Raw genomic sequence first — 13,226 nt, forward strand, 5'->3', positions numbered from 1 at the left:
AAATTAGCTGGACATGGTGGGGGGAACCTGTAATTCCAGCTACTTGGGAGGCTGAGGCAGGAGAATCGCTTGAACCCGGGAGGCAGAGGTTGCAGTGAGCCGAGATTGTGCCACTGTACTCCAGCCTCGGTGACAGAGTAAGACTCTGTCTCAAAAAAAAAAAAAAGAAAAATAAATAAACAAAAAAAAGCAAAATGCAAGAGTATCTACAGTATGACGCATTTTGTGTAAGAAAACATACCTGTTCATTTTTTAAAAAAATTAAACACAGGAAGGATAAATCAAAAATTAATGAGATTGGTTATATGAAAGAGTAGCTTGGAACAGACAGAAAGTATGGGGGCATGGGAACAGGGTGGAAGGGATGGGAGATGCTTCTCTGAGGTGTACTTTTGGTATAGTTCTGATTTTAAACCTTGCTGTTGTTTTACCTGCTCAAAGTATAAGTAAAAAATATCATCATGAATGAGGGAGAAAAGAAACTCCAAATGAAAACAAACAAACCAATGAACCTACCTGAATTTCAAGTTATTAATAATTACCTAGCTGAAAATGTATTAATAATTACCTATTGAAAAGGAGTGTAGAACTAACCAATACTGAACACAATATTTTAACCATATATCCTTATGCTAAGTACAAAAGACTATAGGTGAATATTAAACTATGGTGAGGTTTGTTTTTCACAGTAGTATGAGTTAGCAATTTTGAAATTATTTATGTATACTCTAGGATTTAACAAAATAAGTAAACCTTGTGGCTAATGGATGAAAGCCAGATTCCTCACTAATAGAGAAGGAAGCTATGCATAGAGAAAGGGGGACAGGCTAGAATAAACCCTGGGATGTTACTGGAATAGGAGGTATCAGTATGAATCCATGGGTTTTGAGAGAGAGAGAGAGAAATAATTATTTTCTAGATCTTCTGCTGAGAAAGCCAGGAAGCAATGACACTCAGTATCAAGGAGCACATTTAACACACATATCATGGTTTTTAAATACCATTCTCCACTAAAAGGAGCCAAAAATCCCTGGAGAAATGACTGATTACAGGGCTAGAATAGAAAAAGTATATATAGCATGATCCTGGAACATCTTATTGTGCCAGAAAGTAAGGATGTGCTCAAAGAATGATGGGATATGTAAAAAAAAGACGAAAGAGTCAACTTTAAGGGCTCCCACTGGCCAAATGTGGAACAACTGAACTTCAAATTAATAATAAAGCCAGGCCTTGTGGCGCATGCCTGTAATCCCAGCTACTCAGGAGGCTGGGGTGGGAGGATGGCTTGAGCCCAGGAGTTCAAGGCTTCAGTGAGCCATGATCACAACACTGCTCTCCAGCCTGGGCGACAGAGCAAAACCCCATCTCTACAAAATAATTATTATTAATAATAATAATACATTATAACTTAATAGTTAAAGTAAAAATCTATAGTCCACACTGATCTAAATGAATGAATAAGCGAAGAAAAATATTAAAAGTTCTTTCTTACTACAGAATTCCAACAAAAAATGTAAAAGAAATGATAGAAAAATTACTATTTGGCAACAACCATAGTAATCATTGTTACAGGCAAAGATGTTAACATTATGGGAACACATAAAGCATACAGGGGAATTCTTTGTACTCTTTTTTGCAACTTTTCCGTATGTCTAAAATTATTTTGAGATAAAAAGATTTTTTAAATGTGTAGCCTAGATGGACATTTTTTCTTTTGTCTCTTACTTTTATTTTTTTTCAATTAGTTGCTCACTCCAAAATTCTTACAGAAAGACATTTTCTATGTCCACTCCATTAATGTACTGCTTAGTCTTTTTTTTTTTTTTTTTTTTTTTTTCTTCAGATGGAGTCTCCCTCCGTCGCCCAGGCTGGAGTGCAATGGCATGATCTTGACTCACTGAAACCTCCACCTCTTGGGTTCAAGTGATGTTCCTGCCTCAGCCTCCTGAGTAGCTGGGATTACAGGCGTGGGCCACCATGCCCGGCTAATTTTTTTCTTTTTAGTAGAGATGGGGTTTCACCATGTTGGTCAGGCTGGTCTCGAACTCCTGACCTTGTGATCCATCCGACTCGGCCTCCCAAAGTGCTGGGATTACAGGCATGAGCCACCATGCCCGGCCCATGTACTGCCTAATCTTAAAATTCTTGTGTGATAGTCCCCAGTCCCTCACTATATCAATGGGCTGACCTCTGTCTAGCAATGAAATTGGTCCTCTCCCTACTCCAGCTCTTCCCTCCTCTCTAGATGATCTTAATAATAAGTGTCGCCAATTACCCTGCAAAATCAGACCAAAGCCTAAGAATCATCCTTGGTTCCTCTTTTTCTCACTGCCCACATGCACCCTACCTGCAAGTCCTGTCGCATTTACATCCAAAATATGTCCTGAATCTAACAATTTCTCTCTAGCTCTATTGCTATCACTCTAGTCTAAACTATTCTCTCTCACCTAGACTGTTATCTTGTACAACTACCTGGTTCTTCCTTTATACTTTTGCCGTAGCCACAATCCATCTTCTAAAGAATCTAAGTGGCCTTTTTCATATAATTGTCAAAGTGACTTTTTATCATTAAAAGTAAATCAAGTTATGTTATCCCCATGGGTAGAATCCTCCAATGACTTCCAATTGCCACTCTGAGTAAAATCCAAGCAACTTATCATAGCCTACAAGGCCCTCATCTCTGGCTCCTGACCCCCTTTTCAAGTTTATTTTATACTTTCCCATGAGCTCAATCAGCAGCTGGCCTTCTTTCAGTTCCTGGAACATACCCAGTTGTTTTCTCCTTCAGGTGACTTAAACTTAGCTGTTCCCTCTGTTGGGAAATTCTCAACCCCAGGTCTTTCCACGGCTGGCTCCTTTCTACCATTCAGGTCTCCATAAATGTCACCACCTCAGGGACGCCTTCTCTAACCACATGCCTAATATGGCCCCACTCCCTCACCAGTCACTATCTACCATATTACCCTGTATTTCCTTCACAGTACTTATCACAATTTTATTTATTAAATGAAATAGAAAAATTTTATTTAATTATTATATGTCTTCCTCATTAAAGTATAAGCTTCATAAGGGCTTATATGTCCATCTTGTCCATCAATCTTCAGCATCTAGCACAGGATCAAGTATGCATAGATATTTGTTAAGAATCTCATGAATAAATAAATTATACAGACAAAGATGATATTTTCTCAATACCCCAAACCTATAGCAGTTCTAGAAAGCAGGTCAGGGTCAAGCACTGAAATATTAGATAGAAAACTAAGCTTGAATAAAATTATTATATGACTATATAGTGAAAGGAAATTTATTGAATGTGGTTTTTGTTGCAGAAAAAAAGAAAGAAAAAATGAAATTTAAATTCATTATTCTAATTATGTATCTATAACTTATACCTTTCTAAAACCATTTCATCTCCTAAAATAAAAATATGTTTGACCCTTAGAATTAAAGTATATAATCTTCCTTAGCAAAACACTATCTAAGTCAAGTGATGTACTTTCAAAATTTTTCTTGAAAACTCCCTGGCCCAGCACGGTGGCTCATGCCTGTAATCCCAGCACTTTGCGAGGTAGAAGCAGGTGGATCCCTTTCAGCTCAGGAGTGAGAGACCAGTCTGGGCAACATGGGGAAACCCCACCTCTACAATAAATAAATAAATAAAAATTATCCAAGCGTGGTGCCTCACATCTGTAGTCCCAGCTCCTCGGGAGGCTGAGGCTAAGAGATTGCTTGAGCCTGGAAAGCAGATGTTGCAGTAAGCCAAGATCACTCCCCTGCACACCAGCCTGGGTGACAGAGTGAGAAACTGTCTCAAAAAACAGAAAACATAAAAAAAAAAACTTTCTATATTATGCCCTCACTGTAGTCTCTTCACACTTCTATTATAACAGCTGTTACATTTTACTGAACATGTGTTTTTATATTTATTCATTCATCAATCATTCATTAAGTAACTATTTTTAGTGCTCGATATCATAGTAGTTGATTAAGAAGCAATTCCTGGCCGGGCACGGTGGCTCACACCTGTAACCCCAGCACTTTGGGAAGCTGAAGCAGGTGGATCACTGGAGGTCAGGAGTTTGAGACCAGCTTGGCCAACATGGTGAAACCCTGTCTCTACTAAAAATATAAAAAATTAGCCAGGCATGGTGGCATGTGCCTGTAATCCCAGCTATTTGGGAGCCTGAGGCACAAGAATTGCTTGAAGCCGGGAGGTGGAGGGTGCAGTGAGCTTAGGTTGCCCCACTGGATTCCAGCCTGGGTGACAGAGCAAGACTACTCTGTCTCAAAAAAAAGAAAAGAAAAGAAAAGAAAGAAAGAAAAGCTGCTGTTGGCTGCTGTGGTCAAGATAAGAGATGAAGCTCTGATCTAAGGCTAGGACAAGAAAATGACTGTTTTGAGAACTATATAGAGCTCTTGGGAACTAAGCATATGGGAGGGAGGTAGTTGGGGAAGGGGAACAAGAAGTTCAGATTCAGATATTTTAAGCATGAGTAACCGGATTGATGGTGATAACAACTAGAATAGAAAATGTGCAAGAGGAGTCTTATGGAGGAAGCTTGTGGTCTCATTTTTTTGACACGTTGATTCTGAGGTATTTGTGCAAAAAAGTCTCTGGGAGTCATCAATATATGAAAGGTAGCTGAAATCAGAAAAGGAGAGAATCATCCATGGAGATTCAAGGAAAGAGAAGAGTGGCTACAGCCAGTCAAGAAAGAGGAACCTGTGGAGATGACAGAGAAATAATAGAGAACCAGATGAATAAACATAAAGGAATGTTAGAAAGGAAATAAATGGTCAGTGGTGTCAAAAGTCAGCTGAAATTGTCACTGATTTTTATTTCAGCCATCCTAATAGGTATGTAGTGAAAACGAATCAAGGTTTTAATTTGTATTACCATAACGGCTAATGATGTTGAACATCTTTCGCGTGCTTATTTGCCATCCGTGTATCCTCTATGGTAAAATGTCTGTTCATATCTTTCTTTTTGGGAGGAGGGGGTTTAAACTGCACTTTATTTGTTACCATAACATTCTTTTTTAACTGATCAACCGTAAGCATGCAAAAAGTTCTCCTCTGAATGAAACTGATTCCACAGCCTGTTGTATAGAAATGGGTAAATTATAAAGGTGATTCAGTTTGGAGTTCTCTCCTTTTTTATAGCACTCCTAAGCTATGTGTGCGACACATACCACAGAGGTAGAAAGGATCATCTTTAATAAATTATCTTCTTAATTGTAGAGAATTTCTGAAAATAAAACTGACAAAATGCTAAACCAAGCCTTTGATGTGTCCCAAAGGACCACAGATCCATCGACTCCTATTTGAAGAAGTAATCCCCTGGAGTGTTCTAGCCTTTGAAGGGCACTTGATAACAAGATCCACCAAGGCTCTGAACAACTGCACTAAGAAGCCTTCTAACCGCTCTCATTTGCCGATTCTTTGGGCCACCCAGTCCTGCTGGCAGAGAGGGCAGCGATTGTTCTGTTTCACCCACAGGGACATGCAGCAGTTGCGGAAGGAATGATTACATTCTCCCAAGACCACAACACAGTCCTCTTGTTTGTTTTCAGCTTGACATCTGAGACAGGCATCCATCACCTGGACTCTGCAGATGGCGCACATATCTCACTCCACGGCCCAGCTCCACATGGCCACCACGTTCCACTTCTTGAGCTAGAACATCTTGTCGCCTCCCGACTTGGAGCCTGCGCTCCTGGAGTGAGAGGTCAGGGCGTAGGGTTCCTCGCCGTCTTCCACGTCGGCCATGGTAGCGCCGCGGAGCCGATGGCCGACGTTGGGTTGGGGAAAGCCGGAGGCTGTGGCGGCTCTGTGGCTACAGCGTTACCTTATCTTTCTTCTACCTATTTTCTTTTCCTTTCTTTTTTGAGACGGAGTTTCGCTCTTGTCGCCCAGACTGGAGTGCAGTGGCGCAATCTCGGCTCACTGCAACGTCTGCCTCCGGAGTTCAAGCGATCTCCTGCCTCAGCACCCCTAGTAGCTGAGATTACAGGTGTGTGCCACCACACTCAGCTAATTTTGTATTTTTAGTAGCGACGGTTTCACCATGTTGGCCAGGCTAGTCTCGAACCGCCCGCCTCGGCCTCCCAAAGTGCTTGGATTACAGGCATGAGCCACTGCGCCTGACCGTTTTTACCCATTTTCTTTTCCTTTTTATTTTTATTTTATTATTTTATTTATTATTATTATTTTTTTTTTGAGACGGAGTCTTGCTCTGTCACCCAGGCTGGAGTGAAGTGGCACCATCTCGGCTCACTGCAAGCTCCGCCTCCCGGGTTGACGCCATTCTCCTGCCTCAGCCTCCCGAGTAGCTGGGACTACAGGCGCCCGCCACCACGCCCAGCTAATTTTTTGTATTTTAGTAGAGACGGGGTTTCACCGTGTTAGCCAGGATGGTCTCGATCTCCTGAGCTCATGATCCGCCCACCCCGGCTTCCCAAAGTGCTGGGATTACAGGTGTGAGCACCCGGCCCGTTTTTACCCATTTTCTAATCAGATTTTTTGCTTTCATACTGCTGAGTTTAAAGAGTTATTTATATATTCTAGATACAAGTCCTTTGTTGGATAGCCAATTCGTGAATATTTTCTCCCAGTGTGTAGCTTGTTTTTTCATCCTCTTAACAGGGTCTTTCACTGAGCAATAGCTTTTAATTTTGATGAAGTCTAATTTACTGAGTTTTAAAAAATTTTCTGCAGGAGGCTGAGGCAGGAGAATTGCTTGATCTGGGGAGGTGGAGGTTGCAGTGAGCCGAGATCGCGCCATTGCACTCCAGCCTGGGCGACAAAGTGAGACTCTGTCTCAAAAAAAAAAAAAAAAAAAAAAAAAAAAAAAAAAAAATTCTGGATTGTGCTTTCGAGGACATACCTAAGAACTCTTTGCCTAGGCTAGATTTTTCTAAAAGTTTTATAGTTTATGTTTATCCTATGCCTTTTTCTAAATTTTTTTATAGTTTTATGTTTTACATTTACACCTATGATCAATTTTTAGTTAATTTTTGTACAAGGTGGGAGCTTTAGGCTGAGGTTTTTTTTATTTTATGGATATCCAATTGCTTTCCGCCATTCATTGAAAAGACTATTCTTCCTCCACTGAATGATTTTCGCAACTTAGTCAAAAATCAGGGGGATGGTGGCATGCTCTTGTAGTCCCAGCTACTCAGGAAGCTGAGGCAGGAGGATCACTTGAGCCCAGGAGCTCAAGACCAGTCTGGGCAGCAAAGAGAGACCCCTGTCTCTAAAAAAAAAGAAAAAAGAAAAAATCAGCTGGCTATACTTGTGTGCGTCTATTTCTAGGTCATCTATTCTGTTCCACTAATCAAAGTTTTTTAAAAAAGACAGGTAGAGGCTGGGTGCGGTGGCTCCGCCTGTAATCCCAGCACTTTGGGAGGCCAAGGTGGGTGGATCACTTGAGGTCAGGAGTTCAAGACCAGCCTGGCCAACATGGTGAAACCCTGTCTCTACTAAAAATACAAAAATTAGCTCGGCATGGTGGCAGGCGCCTGTAATCTTAGCTACTCAGGAGGCTGAGGCAGAAGAATCGCTTGAACCCGGGAGACAGAGGTAGCAGTGAGCCAAGATCGCACCACTGCACGCCAGCCTAGCTGACAAGAGGGAGACTGTGTCTCAAAAAAGAGACAGGTGGAGGTCCAAGAGAGAGAAGTATAGAAAAAATATCTTTTGGCCAGGCGAGATGTCTCACACCTGTAATCCCATCACTTTGGGAGGCTGAGATGGGTTTATTACCTGAGGTCAGGAGCTCGAGGCCAGCCTGGCCAACATGGTGAAACCCCATCTCTATTAAAAATACAAAATTTAGGTGGGTGTGGTGGCACATGTCTGTAATCCCAGCTACTCAGGAGGCTGAGGCAGGAGAATCACTAGAACTTGGGAGATGGAGTTTGCAGTGAGCCAGGATCACGCCACTGCACTCTAGCCTGGGCAACAGAGTGAGACTCCATTTCAAAAAAAAAAAATAAATAAATAAAAGAAAAAATATCCTTTGAATTTGGCAGTTAGTAGTTATTGATGACATTCATGATGAAGTGATGGAATTCCTAGAAGCCATATTGCCAAGAGCAGTGGGCTCAGGAGTGAATGACTGTATGCCTGGCTAGGAACAATGAGGATACTAAACACATACACGCAAATATTAAATACATTTGGCAATTTGTACATTAAATATTTATTAATGTTTTGGGAATGTTGTGTATCAGTAATTATACCTAGTAAAAAGAAAGATCCACATCCAAATTCTCCAGAAACGGGTGGCCAGGTAAGGAGGAAGAAGAGCATTTTAAAAACCAAAACCAAAACAAGGAAAAGCTAAAAAGAGTTTCTTCCAAATATCCTGAATTCATAGAGGTTGAATTCACATCTTCAGCCTCTATCCCCCAAAGTGAATTTTAAGGGACTTGAGAAGCTTATACCCCATCTGAAAACATGCTGCATGATTTCCTCTTTCACGTCTCCAGTTCCATACGTTTCTGTTATCCTTTGCTAGTAAAGAAATTTTAGATGTTTTTGTCTTTCCACCAATCATATCATAAGTCCCCTGTTGCCACTCATGCAGTCAGTGTCTTTTTTTTTTTTAATCTCTAGCACCTAGCATTTGGCAAGCACATAACAGATTCTAAATACATATTTGCTGAGTGGCTACTATATCATTATATCAATATTAGAATACTCAATTATTACCCTAATGAAAAAGAGAGATGGAGTTCCTTTATAACTGCCACTTTGAGTTTTTTTTCAGTTGTTTGGAATAAGAATGAAAATATTTACGTAATTAATCTGCAAATAGTGAATGCCAACAAAAATGTAATTCTTAAAACCCATATTGGCCGGGCACAGTGGCTCAAACCTGTATTTCTAGCAATTTGATAGGCCAAGGTGGGAGGATCACTTGAGTCCAGGAGTTCAAGACCAGCCTGGGCAATATAGTGAGATCTCATTTCTACAAATAATTTTAAAAATTATCCAAGCATGGTGGCATGTGATTGCAGTCCCAGCTACTCAGGAGGCTGAGGTGGGAGGACTGCTTGAGCCTGAGTGGTGGGGCTGCAGTGACCCGAGATCGCACCACTGCCCTCCAGCCTTGGTGACAGAGCAAGACCTTGTTTAAAACAAAAAAACAAAAAAATCTATATTGCCATATTGTTGTTCATGACATGTTTGCTCCCTTGGGAAGAGAAAATAAAAACCTCAGTTTCTAAATTTATTTATTTTCTAGAATGGGACTTAGCAGGTGGTCTTAGATGAAACTACTTTGCAATAATTTCTTTGAACATTTTCAAACAAGAAATATAAAAACTTGAACTCACTCCTTTTTTTTTCATTTCACTGGTCATCTGTCAAAAACAAACAGGATATAATTAAATCAAGGAGAACATTTTAAAATTAATTTAAATTGTTTAAAAATTAAATATATAGTTTAAATATATCTATTATTCCTTTTAAAAACATCAGTTATATTGAGATTGTCTTAACTACAAATTAAAATGATATAAGGATAAACTTTTTAACGAGAAAACATAAACTTACAGTTTGAGGATAATCAGGTGGTGGTAATAGAGGTGTTCTTTTACCCAGTGTTCTGTCTAAATTTCTTTTGGCTCCATCAATTCTGAAATTTATAGTTAGAAATATGACTCTCTTGATAACATTAGCATAAGTTACTAAAACATTACAATTTAAGCATTTTTCCAACTATACTAAGAGATATTCAAGAGTTATCTTACTGAATTTTTTATGAGAAACAAATCCCAATAGACATTATCAATGAGACCTTAATTTTTAAATAATGCATATATATGTAACAGGGTGAAACTAAAAATCAAAATCAAATTTTTTCAAGTATAACTTACTGACCATTTAAAAATTAATCCCAATGAATAGTGGGCACTTATATGTATTATCTCTGTTCAAATGTCTGCCGGTCTGTCAGAGAAGCCTCCCCGTACCCCCATATTAAGTAGTACCTCCTTCGATATCCATCCTTTTTATCCTCACTTATCTTGCTTCAAAGCACTTACCATCGTTTGATATAGAATATTTTGTAAACTGTTTTATTCACTGTGGTTATCCTCAGTGCCTAGAACAGTACCTGGCACATAGTAGCTGCTCAATAAACAGTTTACCTTCAAAACTGTTAAGAGATTTTTTTTGCATTCATAAGATATAATTTTCTCTTTAAATTAAGTTGTATAATCCTATTGTATAATCCCTTAATCTGTCAATAAATATTTATTGAATCCCTATATTATGTAAATCACAATACTAGATCCTATTAAAATATAACAACAAATCTCAAGGACTGATGAACTGTTTAAGTGAGAAGAAAAAAACAGAGTGCCATATAGGTACCCTGTGGTTCAGAGAGGGGACAAGTTAGTTCACTTTCATCTGTGAAGGCCACATACATGTTACCATTAGCAATGAGCTTTAAATGAAAGAGAGGATTTCAGGTGGAGACATAGTTTTCCTGGGATCTAAAAAAACAAAGACCCCAAGAAACAGGAAGGCAAGGAAAGGATCAAAGGGGGAAAAAGGAAGCAGGGGTCGTTCAATCCACCCAAAGGTGACAGTGTCAAGTGGAGATAAGTCTGGAGAAGTGGATTGAAATATCCAGCTAAAGGCCTCAAAAACAAGCTTTTTAATCCAATAGACAATGGGGAGTAATCGAGAGGTTTTGAGCATGGAAACATATTTAGGAAGACAAATCTAATAGTCTATAATGCTAGATATACTAGAAGAGATGGCCAAAGAAAAAAGCATACAAGGGAAATTAAAAGAGAATTCAGAAAAAATTGTAGGGTGTCAAGTACGACAGGAATGACGAAAAACAACAATTGAATGAGCAAAGGAGATACCATCAGGTAGGTAAGAGGAGAAACAAAAAAAAAAAAAAAAAGAAAAAAAATCTGAAGGAAAGGGTGTCCACTGGAGCTATAAAACCAAAGACTGGTAAGTAGCATAAAGACAAGGACCATGTCTATTTTGCTCACTGCTCTCCCCACACCACTTAAATAGTATCCATGAAGATGTAGGAGCTCAATAAGCATCTGGTGAATGAATGATCAGAATAGCATATTTGGAAATGATCTTGCATATCTAGTTTGGTACCTTACCTAATAGATGAATCCTCTCAGCAATATCAAGCTGTACCCATGGTACTCCAGGGGCACAGCTTGAGAGAACCATGAGAGTACTGTGAGATGGGTGGGGATGTTGAAAGAGAGGTGGCAGTCATCACTTTATTTTTTAAATTTTTGTGGGTACATAGTAGGCATATGTATTTATGGATTACATGAGATATTTTGATACAGGCATGCTATGCATAATAATCATATCAAGGTAAATAGGGTATCCATCACCTCAAGCATTTATCCTTTGTGTTACAAACAATTCAATTATACTTTTAGTTATTTTAAAATGTACAATTAAATTATTTTTATTATAGTTACCCTGTCATGCTAGCAAATAGTATGTCTTATTCTTTTTTTTTTTTTTTTTTTTTTTTGAGACAGAGTCTCACTCTGTCCCCCAGGCTGGAATACAGTGGCATGATCTCGACTCACCAAAACCTCTGCCACCCAGTTCAAGCAATTCTCCTGCCTCAGCCTCCCAAGTAGCTGGGATTATAGGCTCAGGCTACCAGGCCTGGCTAATTTTTTGTATTTTTAGTAGACATGGGGTTTCACCATTTTGGCCAGGCTGGTCTCAAACTCCTGACCTCAAGTGATCCACCTGCCTCGGCCTCCCAAAGTGCTGGGATTACAGGTGTGAGCCACTGTGCCTGGCCTTTTTTCTTTTTTTGTACCCATTAACCATCCCCAATTCCCTCCTCTCATCTTCCCCACTACCATTCACAGCCTCTGGTAACCAGCCTTCTACAATCTATTTCCATGAATTCAAAGAGTTTAATTTTTAGCACCCACAGATAAGTGAATGACTTTAATTTTTAGTGCCCACAGATAAGTGAAAACATGCAATGTTTGTCTTTCTGTGCCTGCCTTATTTCACTTAACATAATGACCATCCATGTTGTTGCAAATGATAGGTTCTCATTCTTTTTTTATGGCTGAATGGTACTCCATTATGTATATGTACCAATTTTCTTTATCCATTCATCTGGGTTTTTTGTTTTTGTTTTGTTTTATTTTTTTTAGGTAAGTTTATTAGAGAAGTAAAGAAACAAAAGAATGGCTACTCCATAGACAGAGCAGCCCATTCATCTGTTTATGGACACTGAGGTTGTTTCCAGATCTTTTTTTTTTTTTTTTTTTTGAGACAGAGTCTGGCTCTGTTGCCAGGCTGGAGTGTGGTGGCGTGATCTCAGCTCACTGCAACCTCTGACTCCCTGGTTCAAGCTATTCTGCCTCAGCCTCCCAAGTAGCTGGGACTCCAGGTGTGCACCACCACGCCCAGCTAATTTTTGTATTTTTAGTAGAGACGGGTTTCACCCAGTTGGCCAGGATGGTCTCGATTTCCTGACCTTGTGATCTGCCCACTTCGACCTCCCAAAGTGCTGGGATTATAGGCGTGAGCACTGCGCCCGGCCTCTTTTTTGTTGTTGTTGTTGTTTTGTTTTGAGACAGAGTCTTACTCTGTCACCCAGGTTGGGGTGTGGGTGGCACTATCTCAGCTCACTGCAACCTCCGCCTCCCAGGTTCAAGCAATTCTCCTGCCTCAGCCTCCTGAGTAGCTGGGATTACAGGCACCCACCGCCACACCCAGCTAATTTGTGTATTTTTATCAGAGACAGGGTTCCACCATGTTGGCCAGGCTCGTCTCAAACTCCTGACCTCAGGTGATCTGCCCCTGTTTGCTATTTTCATGTCTTCTTTTGAGAAATGTCTATTTAGATCTTTTGCCTATTTTTAAATCAGATTATTAGTTTTTCTTTTCCTATAGAGTTTGTAATAGGCCATTCTTGCATTGCTATAAATAACTAAGACAGGTGTGGTGACTCATGCCTGTAATTCCAGTCCTTTGGGAGGCCATGGCAGGAGGATTGCTTGAGCCCAGGAGTTTGAAACTAGACTGGGCAACACAGTGAGACTTTGTTTCCAAAAAACAAAAACAAAGGAAATTTTTTAAAAAGAGAGAAATATCTGAGACTGGGTAATTTATAAAGAAAAGAGGTTTAATTGGCTCCTGGTTCTGCAGGCTGCACAGGAAGCATAGCAGCATCTGCTGTTGGGGAG

At 39.8% G+C, this 13,226-nt stretch overlaps 1 protein-coding gene and 1 pseudogene across 9 annotated transcripts in view; both read right to left on the reverse strand.

Annotated features, from left to right (window-relative positions):
• DNAH12 (dynein axonemal heavy chain 12) overlaps positions 1 to 13,226 on the reverse strand; it is a 262,335-nt gene that overhangs the window by 220,542 nt on the left and 28,567 nt on the right. For all 9 annotated transcript variants that reach the window (XM_047447667.1, XM_011533468.2, XM_047447668.1 and 6 more), the window contains 2 exons: positions 9,562 to 9,643; positions 9,342 to 9,368 (listed from right to left, as the gene is read on the reverse strand). In XM_047447667.1, the coding sequence (XP_047303623.1) occupies positions 9,342 to 9,368; positions 9,562 to 9,643 (109 nt within the window). The remainder of the gene's footprint in view (positions 1 to 9,341; positions 9,369 to 9,561; positions 9,644 to 13,226) is intronic.
• Positions 5,231 to 5,836, reverse strand: RNF7P1 (ring finger protein 7 pseudogene 1; annotated as a pseudogene).

This window comes from Homo sapiens, chromosome 3 (assembly GCF_000001405.40).
Source record: "Homo sapiens chromosome 3, GRCh38.p14 Primary Assembly".
NCBI lineage: Eukaryota > Metazoa > Chordata > Mammalia > Primates > Hominidae > Homo > Homo sapiens.